At 47.3% G+C, this 16,087-nt stretch overlaps 1 protein-coding gene across 2 annotated transcripts in view; it reads left to right on the top strand.

The window, feature by feature from the left end:
• CPLX1 (complexin 1) overlaps positions 1-16,087 on the top strand; it is a 41,173-nt gene that overhangs the window by 8,786 nt on the left and 16,300 nt on the right. The window contains exon 1 of one of the 2 annotated variants that reach the window (XM_011513391.2): positions 12,435-12,588. The exons of the other annotated variant lie outside the window; for it this stretch is intronic. The gene's annotated coding sequence lies outside the window, so the exon portion shown is untranslated. Of the gene's footprint in view, positions 1-12,434; positions 12,589-16,087 lie in introns of those variants that run through there. 2 annotated transcript variants of the gene reach the window in all.

The raw sequence follows: 16,087 nt of genomic DNA, 5'->3' as shown, positions 1-16,087 counted from the left end.
GAACCCAGGCAATCCACCTGCCCCGGCCTCCCAAAGTGCTGGGATTACAGGCGTGAGCCACTGCGCCCGGCCTGAATTTTTTTTTTTTTTTTTTTTTACATTCACCCAGTGTGCCCCTGCTGAGCCTTGCTTAACGTTTCTGTCACTTTATGTGGGTTGCCATTCAGAAATACATGTAGTTGGATTTCATTTTTTATCTAATTGGAGCCTTAATGCATCTGTTTAATGTGCACTGTTTTGACCAACATATGTGATCTAACCTCTGTCATCTTTGTTGTTGCCTTTTTAAACGCTTTCTTGCTGTTTCATTTATTTTAACTTAATGTAGGGACCACATTTTCTCTTTAAAACCTCTGCAGTGCTTTGGAATGTGCGTGCTCTTTGAAAACATGATGTAAGCTCTACTTGCCAGAGTTGAAAATGATGCAGTGTATTTCCAGTCCTTGCCAACACACTTCCAGGACTTCTGCACACTTTATACTCTTCCGACTCCTCTCCCATCTTTTGGTCTTTGTAATTTTTGAGACAGGGTCTCGCTCTGTCGCCCAGGCTGGAGTGCAGTGGAGCGATCACAGCTCACTGCAGCCTCAACATCCCGGGCTCAAGTGAGCCTTCTACCTTAGCCTCCTGAATAACTGGGACTATAGGTGTGTACCACCACACTTGGCTAATTTTTTTTTTTTTAAGACAGGGTCCCACCATGTTTCCCAGGCTAGGAAGAGAATTCAAATAATAAGTATAAAGAAGTGATATGAGAAAATCACTGGGAAAATTGAGATACTGCATTGTTTTGAAATCATTCATCACTTCATTTATGAATATTTTTGGCCGGGCGCAGTGGCTTATGCCTGTAATCCCAGCACTTTGGGAGGCTGAGGCAGGTGGATCACGAGGTCAGGAGTTCAAGACCAGCCTGGCCAACATGGTGAAACCCTGTTCTCTACTAAAAACACAAAAGTTAGCCGGGTGTGGTGGTGGGCGCCTGTAATCCCAGCTACTCTGGAGACTGAGGCAGGAGAATTGCTTGAACCCGGGAGGCGGAAGTTGCAGTGAGCCGAGACTGCACCACTGCACTCCAGCCTGGGTGACAGAGTGAGACTCTGTCTCAAAAAAAAAAAAAAAAAAAAAAATTTCACGGAGAATGCCTTCAGATCCACTTGTAAATTTAAGAGACACTGCAAAGTTGCTAGTGCTGTTGATTTATTAGGACTAGTGAGTGCAGTCAGTGAGCTGAGGTCTCAGGCTGGTGAGAAAAACCAGCCTCCAAGGTGAATATAACTTAAATAGCTCAACATAAACATTGTAACAAATATAATTTCCCTTAACAGGCGTTTATATTCTCAAGGACAGACAACAAAAGATCTTTGAATGGGTGGATAGTTCAGGGAAGTTTTTGTTTATTTTGCAGACATTTAGACAGAAAGTCAACTTTTTGATGATGAGATATGGAATCAGTAGAGACCTAAGTCCAAGTTACAGAGTTGGAAGTGGTGTGTAAATGTCTGCAACTTCCCCACCCGTTGTAACAAGAGCCTGGGCAGAAGCCAGGTTTGCAGTGGCAAACACTGTATCAACAGCCTCTCACGGTGCTTCTCCAAGTGCCGCTGAGATTTATGACCTGTGAAACCTGTTACAATTGCAGCTGAGACTGAACAAGATACTGTGGAACTTACAATAACGGACTTCTTAAGCTGCCCCACTCAGAGGTGTGTGTCTTATGTTTCTGAGTAAGTGCCACACGGGGTCATCTCAGATGCCACGTGTTAACCTCCTGTAAGGGCTCCAGAGCATTCGGTGCTTACAAACCTGCCCCCATGCCCCTCCGTGGCTGTATGTAAATACTGCTTAGCGCTGAGCCCTGCAGTGCACTGCGATTACACTTCTTATAAAGTCTTTTCTTTGTTCTGTAGTTCTTTTTTTTTTTTTTTTTTTTGAGACGGAGTCTTGCTCTGTCACCCAGGCTGGAGTGCGGTGGCACAATCTCGGCTCACTGAAAGCTCCACCTCCTGGGTTCAAGCAATTCTCCTGCCTCGGCCTCTCGAGTAGCTGGGATTACAGGCACCTGCCACCATGACTGGCTAATTTTTGTATTTTTAGTAGAGACGGGGTTTCACCATGTTGGCCAGGCTAGTCTTGAACTCCTGACCTCAGATGATCCACCCGCCTCAGCCTCCCAAAGTGCTGGGATTACAGGCGTGAGCCACCACGCCTGACCCCTTATTTTTATCTTCTAACACTTCAACTGAATTTTTAATTTCTGCATTTATATTTTTAATTTCCAAGAGCTCTTTTCTGTTTTCTAAATGTTCGTTCTCTTTACAAGTTTTCCTCTGTTCTCTGTGTTGTCTCTGAGCTCTGTTTTGGGAGCCCCCAGATAAACTGGGGTTCCAGTGTGTGAGAGCTGGCAGTCTTGCCCTAATGGGAAATGAATGGGGCTAGACCTGGTGCCTTTCATGGAATCCTTCTTTCACCTGGTGGACGGCTTGAACGCTAGTTACCCGACCCATGGCCGGGGCCCCTCACACACGACACTTGTTCATACTGGCAGATGCCCGGTGGTTTGTGTCTGCTCCATGTACAGGCTCTGCCTGCCTGGCCATCACTCTGGCACAGGGACTCCAACCTTGTGTTCCTCCCGGACTCCTGGGGAAAACCTGGCCTGGGGTAGCCCCTGGTTCTTCAGATTTAAGGCACAGATTTAATCCACCACTGCAATAGGAAACAAGTTCGAAGATTTTTGCTACAGATCCTGGCAGAGAGGATGCTGTGAGTCGCGGGGGCCATCCTCCATCTCCGGGTCGCATGAGGCAGGAATGAAGAGTCAGGGAGAGGGCCGGGCGTGGTGGCTCATGCCTGAAATCCCAACACTGTGGGAGGCCAAGGCAGGTGAATCACCTGAGGTCAGGAGTTCAAGATCAGCCTGGCCAACATGGTGAAACCCGGTCTCCACTAAAAATACAAAAATTAGCTGGGCGTGGTGGCAGGCACCTGTAGTCCAAGCTGCTCAGGAGGGTGAGGCAGGAGAATCACTTGAACCCAGGAGGCAGAGGTTGCAGTGAGCTGAGATTGCGCTACTGCACTCCAGCCTGGCAACAGAGCGAGACTCCGTCTTAAAAAAAAAAAATCAGGCAGAGTGGGGACAGCTAGCATGATTATAAGAGGAAGTGGAGTGTGGGTCCCTTGTATTTGCAGGCAGATACCTGTATGGTCCTTTCAGAGCAAGTGGTGGGAAAAGCAGGGGTTCCACCTGCTGGACGGGAGAGAGGCCTCTGAGTTCACATGTCTGGCCGCCGGCTTGGGTCGCCCAGGTGTGGCTCTGCCTCCGATGCCCAGGCAGTGGTCTTTGCTGTGTCATTTTGTTACAAGCTCCTTTTCCGTCCATTTAGCTTGCAGCTTTCTTTGTGTCAGAGACTTTCCCTGGATGCACATTTATGTTTCAGCGAGTCAGGAAAAGCTGTTGGAAGTCTTCTGTGTGTGTGTGGGAATTCTGGGCTTACCTGTAGGGCAAACGTGGCGAGCTGGCTTTTATGCTTGGGAATCCGCACAGGTCAGGCCCTTTAGGTCTTTTGGGGAGTGTGGCTCCATCTCCCCAGAAATGGATTCTGTGTGGCTGGATGGTGGATCTATGAGCAGGGCAGTGGACTGGGCTTGAGTGAGGGCTCTGTAGGGTGCAGATATTCCATGAACTCTCTGTTTTCAAGGAATCACTTCTGCCCTTTAGGATTGGTGCCTGAGGATTGGTCTGAGTCTGGGGGTCTCTGGTTCAGTTTCTCCAAGGAAATGATTTCTTGATATCTCATTGCCACGTGGGTGGTGGGCCCAGTGCCCTTTATACAGACCTTTCACCATCCCTCATGTCTGCCCCACTCGCCTGACAGCAGGGCCTCCAGTCCCAGAGTCTTCCTGGGGTTCTGCCCGGCTGGTCAGCTTCTCAGCAGCATCTCCCTCTGCAGAGCCCATCCGTGCACCTGCTTTCCATCGTCCCCAATCTGATACCGATTTACCTGGCCTCTCCTCTCTTGTTGTGTTATTCTTGTGAAATTATACTATTCACTTTCTCTTTTTTTTTTTTTTTTTTTGAGACAGAGTCTAGCTCAGCCACCCAGGCAGGAGTGCAGTGGTACAATCTTGGCTCACTGCAACCTCCGGCTCCCAGGTTCAAGCAATTCTCCTGCCTCACCCTCCCAAGTAGCTGGGACTACAGGCATCTGCCACCACACCCAGCTAATTTTTGCATTTTTAGTAGAGACGGGGTTTCACCATGTTGGCCAGGCTGGTCTTGATCTCTTAACCTCATGATCTGCCTGCCTCGGCCTCCCAAAGTCCTGGGATTACAGGTGTGAGCCACCGCTCCCAGCCTGTTCAGTTTCTTTACTCCCATCTTAGTGGGGTTGTGGAAAGGCACGTCAATAAGCATATATGTTCAATCCATCATGTTTAAACAAAACTCAGTACACTATCATTTGTAAGGGTGCCTGGCATTAGGACGGCCAGCGTTAGGACATTAGGATAGCCAGCATTAGAGCAGGCAGCGTTAGGACACCGGGCGTTAGCATTAGGATGCTCAGTGTTAGGACACCCAGCGTTAGGACACGCAGCGTTAGGATGCCCAGCATTAGGAACGTGCTGGGATTACAGGCGTGAGCCACCGTGCCTGGCCCCTAAGTATATTCTTGAGTTTTGCTCTTGATATGGTCAAGTCACTTAGAAAGAGTTTGGTCCTTTCCTCTCTTATTTTGGAACTTTGCTAGGTGGGATTCGAGCGGTATTCTGTCTGAAGATAATTTCCCCACACTCAAGCCCATACCCTTTTTATTACTCTGATGGACGCCCTTTGATTTATGACTTTTTCTTCTCTGTCTGTTGGGAACACTCTCATTAAAAAGCAGAATTGTCAGATTGGATAAAAAATCAAGATCCAGTTCTGTGCTACATACAAGAAACCCACTTTAAATATAAAAAGACTCTGCTGGGTGCGGTGGCTCCTGCCTGTAATCCCAGCACTTTGGGAGGCTGAGGCAACTGAATCACCTGAGGTGAGGAGATCAAGACCATCCTGGACAACATGGTGATACCCCTGTCTCTACTAAAAATACAAAAATTTAGCGGGGCGTGGTGGCGGGCGCCTGTAGTCCCAGCTACTCGGGAGGCTGAGGCAGGAGAATCATGTGAACCCAGGAGGCAGAGGTTGCAGTGAGCTGAGATCGCACCACTGCACTCCAACCTGGGTGACAGAGCAAGACTCTGTCTCAAATAAATAAATAAATATATAAAGACTCTAGTCAGGTAAAAGTGAAAAGATAGGGAAAAAATAAGAAGAAAACTTGAGTGGCTATATTAATATAAGACCAAGGAGATTTCAGTGCAAGAAATATTGCCAGGGATGAAGGAAGTCATTTCCTGGTGATTAAGAGGTCAGCTAATCAAGAGGACATCATGGTCTCAACTGCTTCTACACCCGACAGCTGAGTTCCAACATACGTCAGCAAAGACAGAAGGAGGTCACAGGAGAAACATACAAACCCACTGTTTGAGCTGGAGATACTCAACTCAAAGGACAGAGAAGCAGGAAGGACAGACAGGACTTGAGCAGCACAGCCAGCCAGGCTGACCTGCTTGATGTTCACAGACGCTCTGAGCAGCAACAGCAGAGTAGTCCTTCTTCTTTTCAGGCACACATGGAGCATTTGCCAAGACACACCATATTCGAGGCCCTGAAACAAGTCTCAGTGCACGTGAAAGGGTTCAAGTCATGCAAATATATTCTCCAACTACAATGAAATGCAATGAGAAATAAAGACAGAAAGGTATCTAGAAAATCTCCCAAATAGTTGGAAACTAAACAACACACTTCTAAATAGCCCACGAGCCAAGGAAGAAATCAAAGTGGAAATTAGAGGCTGGGTGCAGTGGCTCATGTCTGTAATCCCAACACTTTGCGAGGCTAAGGAGGAAGGATTGCCTGAGGCCAGGAGTTCCAGGCCAGCTTGGGCAACAGAGCAAGATCCCATCTCTATGAAAAATAAAAAAAAAATTGGCTGGGCACAGTGGTATGCACCTGTAGCACTAGCTGATTGGAGGCCAAGGTGGGAAGATCACTTGAGCTCAGCAGTTTGAGGCCAGCCTGGACAACCTGGGCAATGTAGGGAGATCCCATCTCTATAAAAAATTTAAAAATTAGCTGGGCATGGCAGTGTGCCCTTGTTGTCTGAACTACTTGGGAGGCAGAGGTGGGAGGATCACTTAAGCCCAAGAGTTCAAGGCTGCAGTGAGCCATGATCTCACCACTGCATTCCAGCCTGGGTGACAGAGCAAGGTCCCACCTCTTATAAAAAAGGGAAATTAGAGGCTGGGCGTGGTGGCTTACACCTGTAATCCCAGCACTTTGGGAGGCTGAGGCGGGCGGATCACCTGAGCTCAGGAGTTCGAGACCATCCTGGCCAACATGGTGAAAACCTGCCTCTACTAAGAATACAAAAATTAGCCAGGTGTGGTGGCGGGCACCTGTAATCCCAGCTACTCGGGAGGCTGGGGCAGAAGAATCACTTGAACCCAGGAGGTGGAGGTTGCAGTGAGCCAAGACCACGCCATTGCACTCCAGCCTGGGCAACAAGAGTGAAATTCCATCTCGAAAAAAAAAAAAGAAAAAGAAAAAAGAAAATGTGCAAAAGATTTGAATAGATATTCCCCCAAAGAAGATACGGGAATTAAAGGAATGATTATTAAGGATATATGAAGATGTTCGGCAGTGCTGGTCACGGGGACACACCACAGCGAGATGCTGCCACACCCACTAGGGTGACCAGAGTCAACAGAGCCACTCACGCATGTGGAGAAACCCACGCCCTCATGCTCTCCAGTGGGAGCTTAAAATGGCACAACCGCACTGGAAAACAGCTTGGCTGTTTCTTAAAAAGCAAAATAGAAATTTAATACACAGCTGAGCAATTCTGCTCCTAGACGTTGACCCAAGAGAAATGAAAGCGCAGACCCAAGGCCGGGCGTGGTGGCTCACGCCTGTAATCCCAGCACTTTGGGAGGCCGAGGCGGGTGGATCACGAGGTCAGGAGATCGAGACCATCCTGGCTAACATGGTGAAACCCCGTCTCTACTAAAAATACAAAAAATTAGCCGGGCGTGGTTGCAGGCGCCTGTAATCCCAGCTACTTGGGAGGCTGAGGCAGGAGAATGGTGTGAGCCCAGGAGGCGGAGCTTGCAGTGAGCTGAGATCATGCCACTGCACTCCAGCCTGGGCAACGAAGCGAGACTCCATCTCAAAAAAAAAAAAAAAAAAAAGAAAGTGCAGATCCACACAGACGTGTGCAGGAACAACCCACGGTTCACACACAGGTGGGCGGGTGAAGGAGCCGTGTGCATCCACACCGTGGGGTCCTGCTCAGCATGGAGAGGGGTGAGCTGCTGGTGTGATGGGGTGTCCCAGAAAGCAGCGAACTCAGTAACCGGGCCAGTCCCCCCGCCTGCTGCAGATACCACGTATTGTGTGTGCCCCTTTATATAAAGTTCTAGAGAAAGCCCATAATCCATAGTGACAGGAAGTAGGTCAGTGGCTGGAGTGGTGGGTGGGAGGGGCCACACAGGCCACCATGAAACCCGAGGGCTGGACGTGTCCACTGTCTTGATTGTGGTGATGGCTTCATACACATATACATGCGTCAAAACAGACTTAGGGTATGTCAGTTACCTCCATAAAGCTGTTTAAAAGTTGGGTTCTGAGAGTTACGGAGGACGCCTACCTTTGTGATGGTCATGAAGTGGTCACACATGTGGCCCCCACGGCCTGAGGTCCCCCCCACCCCCTCAGGCCATGTGTCCGTGTTCAAGGCTGAGTGAGGGCAGCAGGCAGGGCAGAGGCTCAGCAGCCACAGGGCCCGTTTCCTTGAGGGCACGAGGCAGGGCAGAGGCTCAGCAGCCACAGGGCCCGTTTCAGTAAGGGCGTGAGACAGGGCAGAGGCTTGGCAGCCATAGGGCCCCTTTCTGGGGGAGAATGAGAAGCTTTGGCCGGGCCCCACCCCGTGCACTCCTGCCCTACCCAAGGCTGAAGGGGCCTTGGGGAGTCATCACCGTTCCACTGTCTATAGGCGAGGACGTGGGGTGGCGAGAGCCACCCGCCAGCCCTGAGAATAGCAACCGCAAGATACGGTTCACAGCGTGAGGAGCATAATCGTGTTTGAATATTGAACCATCCTCACTTTGCTAAAATGAGCCCCACTGAGTACTCACTGTGTTTCCCATGGAACGCCAGACTCTCCTCCCGCTCTGGCCCAGCGTTCAGCACTGACATTCTCGCTGGAGCCCGGCCTGCCGCCCGCGCACTCGCGCGCTCTCTATCTCTATCGCTATCTCTCCACCAATTTTTGGCATTGCTCTTATGTTAATTTCACAAAAATAACCCAGAGGATTTCCTTCTTTTTCTCCGTTCCAAGAACATTCTAAATATCATTGGAATTATCTGTTTCTTGAATGTTTGAAAGAATCCATCTGTGAATTCTTAGACATCGTTCTCAGATTTTTTACAACGGGTTTTAAAGACAATCCATTTCATTCAAGTTTTTAAGTGTATTAGGAAAGTGTGTGTAAAATATTATTTGACCATCTTATTTCCTGTCTGGGTGTGGCTAGTTCTCAATCGTTTCCCCTCGTTTTGTGTGTCCCAGGCTTCTTTCTGTCTTCTCACTCTGAGCAGCTGCCTGATGCCTGTTTTATGGGAGGTTCAAGACCCACCTCCTGAACCGCTGACTCTTTTGACATTTGTCTTTCTGGACGGATTCGTTTTGCCGTTAGCTTTGCAAACTCCTTTCCTCTGCCTGCCTTGGTTTGTTTGGTTGCTTTTTCTGTGGCAATTGGAGTGAGGTGTTTTTTGCTGTGTATGCCTGGGCTTGCCGGGAGCGTGAGCGTTTCAGGGAATGAACAGCATGGGCCACCCCTGACATGCCGCTGGATTGAGGCCTCGATACATCCAGTTCCTGGAGATGTGGTAACCGTGGTTTTAATATTTTCCAACTCGTTTGTTGTTAGAGAGATGTTACATTTACAAGGGCCCAGGAGGAGGATTTTTATTTATTTTTATTTATTTATTTATTTATGTATTTATTGAGCCAGGGTCTCAGCTCACTGCAACCTCCACCTCCCAGACTCAAGAAATTCTCTCGCCTCAGCCTCCCAGGTAGCTGAGACAACAGGTGTGTGCCACTATGCCTGGCGAATTTTTCATAATTTTTTTGTGGAGACAGGGTTTTGCCATGTTACCCAGACTGATCTTGAGCTCCTGGGCTCAAGCGATCCAGCCACCTCACCCTCCCAAGTGCTGGGATGACAGGTGTGACCGCCGCACCCAGCCAAGGATTTTTTATTCCTGGTTGTGCTGCACCTGTGCCATGACTCTGAGCCAAAGCATGCAGCCTTATTTCTGCTCTGGAAAACATATTGAGATTAATATATCAAGAAAGACAAATGTCAACAGAGGTGGCCTAACATTTTTTTGACAGGTGAGATTATAAATCATTTAAAATTTATGCTTCTCTGTTTTAAAAAAAATTTAAGGCCAGGCAAGGTGGCTCACGCCTGTAATTTCAGTACTTTGGGAGGCCGAGGACGGCGGATCACCTGAGGTCAGGAGTTTGAGACCAGCCTGACCAACATGGTGAAAACCCCATCTCTACTAAAAATAATAATAAAAAAAAATTGGCCGGGCATGGTGGCACCTGCCCGTAATCTCAGCTACTTGGGAGGCTGAGGCAGGAGAATCTCTTGAACCCAGGAGGCAGAGGTTGCAGTGAGCCGAGATTGTGCCACTGCACTCCAGCCAGGGCAACAAAGAATGAAACTCCATCTCAAAAAAAAAAAAAATTAAGTTCCGGGATACATGTGCAGGATGTGTAGGTTTGTTACATAGGTAGTAAACGTGTACCATGATGGTTTGCTGCACCTGCCAGCCTATCACCTAGGTATTAAGCCCAGCATGCATTAGCTATTTTTCTTGATGCTCTCTCTTCCCCTGCTCCATAGGCCCCAGTGTGTGTTTTTCCCCTCCCTGTGTCCATGTGTTCTCAATGTTCAACTCCCACTTACGAGTGAGAACATGCGGTGTTTGGTTTTCTGTTCCTGTGTTAGTTTGCTGAAGATAATGGCTTCCAGCCCCATTCCTATCCCTGCAAAGGACATGATCTCATTCTTTTTTATGGCTGTGTAGTATTCCATGTTGTATATGTACCACATTTTCTTTATCCAGTCTATCATCGATGGGCATTTGGGTTGATTCCCTATCTTTGCTATTGTGAATAATGCTGCAATGAACATACACGTACATATATCTTAAAATAGAATGATTTATATTCCTTTGGGTATATACCCAGTAATGGGATTGCTGAGTCAAATGGTATTTCTGGTTCTAGGTCTCTGAGGAATCGCCACAGTCTTCCACGGTGGTTGAACTAATTTACACTCCCATCAACAGTATAAAAGTGTTCCTATTTCTCTGCAACCTTCCCAGCATCTGTTGTTTCTTGACTTTTTAATCTTAATCACCATACTGACTGGTATGAGATGGTATCTCATTGTAGTTTTGATTTGCATTTCTCTAGTGATCAGTGATGTTGAGCTTTTTTTCACAGGTTTGTTGGCTGCATAAATGTCTTTCGTTTGGGTTCCTTGTAGATTCTGGACATTAGACCTTTGTCAGATGGATAGATTGAGAAATGTTTCTCCAATTCTGTAGGTTGTCTGCTCACTCTGATGATAGTTTCTTTTGCTATGCAGAAGCTCTTTAATTAGCTCCCACTTGTCAATTTTTGCTTTATTACAATTGCTTTTGATGTTTTCATCATGAAATTCTCAACCTTGCCTATGTCCTGAATGGTATTGCCTAGATTTTCTTCTAGGGTTTTTATACTTTTGGGTTTTACATTTAAATCTTTAATTCACCTTGAGTTAATTTTTATATAAGGTGTAAGGAAGGGGTCCAGTTTCCATTTTCTTCAGATGGCTAGCCAGTTCTCCCAGCACCATTTATTAAATAGGGAATCCTTTCCTCATTGTTTTTGTCAGGTTTGTTGAAAATCAGATGATTGTAGGTGTGCAGGCTTATTTCTGAGTTCTCTATTCTGTTCCATTGGTCTACGTGTCTGTTTTTGTACCTGTACCATGCTGTTTTGGTTACTGTAGTCTTGTAGTATAGTTTGAAGTCAGGTATATGCTTCTCTTTTTTGTGGTAAAATATATAGCATAAAATTTACCATTTAAATTATGTTAAGTGCACAATTCAGTGGCATTAAGTACATCACAATGTTGTGCAACTAACACCTCTATTTCCAGAACTTTTCATCATTTCCAACTGAAACTCTGTCTACACTAAACACTCACTCCCCACTCTCCTTCCCCCAGCCCCTCGCACCCACCACTTTACTTCCTGTCTCAATGAATTTGGCTACTCTAGGGACCTCATCTAAGTGGAATCTTACAGTATTTGTCTTTTTGTGTCTGGCTTATTTCATTTAGCATAGTGTCCTCAAGGTTCATCCATGTTGCAGTTTGTGTTGGAACTTAATTCCTTTTTAAGGCTGCATAATATTCCATTCTGTCTACACCACATTGTGCTTGTCCATTCATCTGCTGATGGACACCCTGGGTTGTTTCTCCCTCTTGGTTATTGTGGTTAATGCTGCTATGAACAGGGGTATGGAGGTATCTGTGAGAGACTCTGCTTTCAGTTCTTGTGGGTCTATACCCAGAAATGGAATCGCTAGATCATATGGCAATTCTATGTTTAATTTTTTGAGGAACAGCCAGACTGTTTCCACAGCAGCTGTGCTGTTTCTCATTCCCAACAACAAGGCACAGGGTTCCAGTTTCTTCACATTGTTGCCAACACTTGTGATTTCCTGGTTTTTGATAACAGCCGTCTGAGTGGGTGTGAGCCGGTATCTCATTGTGGTGCAGACTGACACCTGGCCCTTGTAAGCATTCCATGAGAGCTTCAAAGGAACACCTGTTAGGTTTTTCAGGGTTTGGGTTCGGTGTGAACCTCGTGTGTAACCCTCCGATCCTCCTTCTATCTTTAGATAATCCTAACAACAGGGGTATATTCATACATGATTGTTTTTCCTTTTTGCCTTCCAAACATGGGCTCTGCGGCGCGTTTGTCTGCCTGTGGCTCTCCGGCTGCAGCGCCCACAGCAGCCCCTCCCTCCCGCTCCAGGCCCCGGGCTTCCCTGTGTGGATGTGCGATGGGCGTATGGCCACACGCCCAAGATATCACCTTGTCTCCAGCCACACGCCAGGGCCGCTGCCGAGACAGACGGTGCGCGAGCGTGCGTGGGCACGTTTCTCCACAGAGGAGCACCCGCCCTAGCCGGCCGCCGCGCAGGAGTGGGACGCCGGGTGAACTCCGCACGTGCTCGCGGCGACGCACTGCGTTCCAAAATGGCTGCCGCCTGCGTTCCAAAATGGCTGCCGCCGCCCACCTTTCCCGTGGAGGCTGAGCACGTCGCTCCCCACGCTTGCCGGCCTCCAGGCTGACGACCGCCAGAGCCGTCTCTGGGACTCTGCAGGCACTTCCCGAGCCCCCGCAAGGTGCGTTTTCACTTCTTTGTGACACTTGGGTTGAGTCTCCTCTGACATCAATTCTGCCATATGAACCTTAATTTTATCCAAAGCCCCAAAAAGAACAAAAGCGTTGGAGTTTAAGCTGAAGGTGCGATCCGGATTACATACAATTGCACATTATTGTTGATGCGGCTGACGTCATTATGATATTAAGCCTGCCCACCAAGAATCTGGCATGTCTTTCCAAAACCGTACGATTTAAATCCATGATTTTTTTCTGATATAGGTTCTATAGACTTCCCTTTTATTTCTAAGTAGGTTATATTTTCGTACTTATTGTGTGTTTTCCTCATTATTGTAAGTGGAACGTCATTCCTGTTCCTGTTTCTAGCTTGTTCTTGACAGTGTGGGGGAAAACTATTAATTCGGAAGTATGGATATTGTATTTAGCCATGCTGCCACATCCCATGATGTGTTCTGGTAGGTTTTTACTGCACTGTCTTGAGTTTCTCAGAGATAGGATCGTGTCATCAGGAAGAGAGGTGGGAGAGACGGAGAAAGAGATAATTGGCTGTCTTCTTTTATAACTCTTATTACCATCCTGTGTTGACGGGAATACGTTCGTGGCTGTGGGACTGTCATGGAATCTCCCTTCACAAGCCTAGATGATGCAGCCTCCTGCACGCCCAGGCCGTGTGGTGCAACCATTGTTCCCCGGCTGCAAACCTGCACAACACACATCTCACTGAACACCGCAGTAGCGGCAGCACCAGGGTGAGGCTGTGCACCTAAGCATAGAAAAGGCACCGTGAGGCCAGGCGTGGTGGCTCACGCCTGTAATCTCAGCACTTTGGGATGCCAAGGTGGGTGGATCATTTGAGGTCAGGAGTTTGAGAACAGCTTGGCCAAACATGGTGAAACCCCATCTCTGCTAAAAATGCAAAAATTAGCCAGGCGTGGTGGCACACGCCTGTAATCCCAGCTACTTGAGAGGCTGAGGCACAAGAATGGCTTGAACCCAGGAGTGGAGGTTGCAGCGAGCCAAGATCACGCCATTGCACTCCAGTCTGGACAACAGGTCTCAAGAGAAAGAAAGAAGGCCGGGCGCGGTGGCTCACGCCTGTAATCCCAGCGCTTTGAGAGGCCGAGGCGGGCAGATCACGAGGTCAGGAGATCGAGACCACGGTGAAACCCCGTCTCTACTAAAAAAAAAAAATACAAAAAATTAGCCGGGCGCGGTGGCGGACGCCTGCAGTCCCAGCTACTCCAGAGGCTGAGGCGGGAGAATGGCGTGAACCTGGGAGGCGGAGCTTGCAGTGACCCGAGATGGCGCCACTGTACACCAGCCTGGGCGACAGAGCGAGATTCCGTCTCAAAAAAAAAAGGAAAGAAAAGGCACCGTGAGAATTCGGTGCTGTCGCCTTCCAGGGCACTGTCGTACATGCGGCCTGCTGTTGACTGAAACGGCCTTATGTGGCACATGACTGTGTCTTATCTTTTCATGCGCTTCACTGGACCCTTCGAAACAGCGCAGAATCGCAGCGGCAGCTGTGTGTCATGCCCTCGGTCTTACTGCAGGCAGATTTACTGTTTACCATTGTCCATTTTCTGCTTTTCTCTTCATTAATTATCTCTTCCTGTCTTATTTGGGATTATTTTGTTTTGTTTCTTTTAAATTTCTTAAGATGGCAATGAAGTTCCTATACTTTCTGCTCTTCCTTAAAATGAAGGACTATGAATTTCCTCCCAAAAAAAGTTTTAGCCCTGGACCCTAAGTTCAGACGCCTAGTGTTTATCTTTCATGCTTTCTGGAATTTTTTTTTTTTTTTTTTGAGACAGAGTCTCACTCTAATGCTCAGGCTGGAGTACAGTGGCGCAGTCTCGGCTCACCGCAACATCTGCCTCCCGAGTTCAAGCAATTCTCCTGCCTCAGCCTCCTGAGTAGCTGGAATTACAGACATGTGCCATCAAGCCCAGCTAATTTTTGTATCTTTTTTAGTAGAGATGGGGTTTCACGATGTTGGCCAGGCTGGTCTCAAACTCCTGACCTTTTGATCCTCCCACCTTGGCCTCCCAAAGTGCTGGGATTACAGGTGTGAGCCACCACGCCCAGCTGCTTTCTGGAATTTTTACACTTTCAGTTTTTATTTCCTCTTCAGTTGAAGGGTTACTTACGTCCTTGTTTCTAATATTTGGGCTTCCATACTTAGTGATTTGGTCATGTTTTTAGTATTTGTAACTTGATTAGATTATGATCAGGGAAAATGGCCTGTAATATCTCTAGCTTTTAATTTGTTAGGGCTTCTGATCAATTTGATAGTGGTGCAATTTATTTTCAATAACCATTGCCCTCTTAAGGGTACACTCCAATGAGTTTCACCATCACCGTGGTTAAGTCTGCCTGGCCCCAGGCAATCTACATTTTCTTTCTGTCACTGTAGATTAGTTTGCACCCAAATGTACATACATGAAATTAAATAATTTGTATCTGGCCTTTTACACTCAGCATAAAGACTTTGAGATTCTCCCGTGTTGTTTGGTGTATCAGCAATTCATCTGTCTCTGTTGCTAAGTGATGCTACCTGTGTGGACATACCACAGTTTGTCTATTCACCTGTTGATGGACATTTGAGTTGCTTTCTGGTTTTGGCTGTTACAAATGAAACTACCATGAACATTCCTGTTCCTGCCATTGTGTGAACTTAAGTGTTTGTTTCTCTTGGGTAAACACCTAGGAGTGGAATTTCTGGGTCATTTGGTGGCATGTTCAGTTGTACAGGAAAATGCTCAACTGTTGGCAAAGTGGTTGTAGCATTTACCTTCCCACAAGTATGCATGAGTGTTCCAGTTCCTCCACCAGTGTTCCTTGCCAACACTTAGCACAGTCAGTCTTTTTAATTTCAGACATTTGAGTAGGAATGTGGTGGTATCTCTGTGTGATTTAAGTTTGAATTCCCTTATGACTGACACGTCGATCAACTTTATTTGTAACAGCCACGTGTGTCTTTTCGTGCAGTCATGCATCATGTAACGAAAGGGACAAGTTCTGAGGACTGTGTCATTAGGTGACTTTGTTGCTGTGCGAACATCAAAGAGTGCACTGTTGCACACCCAGATGGAGCAACCCTGCACGCCCAGGCTGTTGGGGGTAGCCTGGTGCTCCCGGGCACAACCCTGCACAGCACGTGACTGCCTGAATGGCACGGAAGTTGTAACACAGTGGTGAGTATTTGCGTACCTAAGCACATCTAAACATAGAAAAGGTACCACGTGGTACACCTTACAATGGCTGCGACATCATGTTGCTTTACATGGTCCATGACTATACTTAGTTGCCATCTGTTTCTCTTCTTTGGTGAAATGTCTTTTGTCCACTTTAAAAATCAGGTTGTTTGTGTTCCTGTTATTGAGTTGTAAGAGTTTTTTGTGTATTCTGAATATAAGACTTTTTTTTTTCTTTTGAGACAGAGTCTCGCTCTGTCACCCAGACTGGAGTGCAGTGGCCCGATCTCGGCTCACTGCAACC

Source organism: Homo sapiens, chromosome 4, assembly GCF_000001405.40.
Source record: "Homo sapiens chromosome 4, GRCh38.p14 Primary Assembly".
Classification (NCBI taxonomy): Eukaryota; Metazoa; Chordata; class Mammalia; order Primates; family Hominidae; genus Homo; species Homo sapiens.
This window is presented reverse-complemented; position numbering and strand designations above follow the sequence as displayed.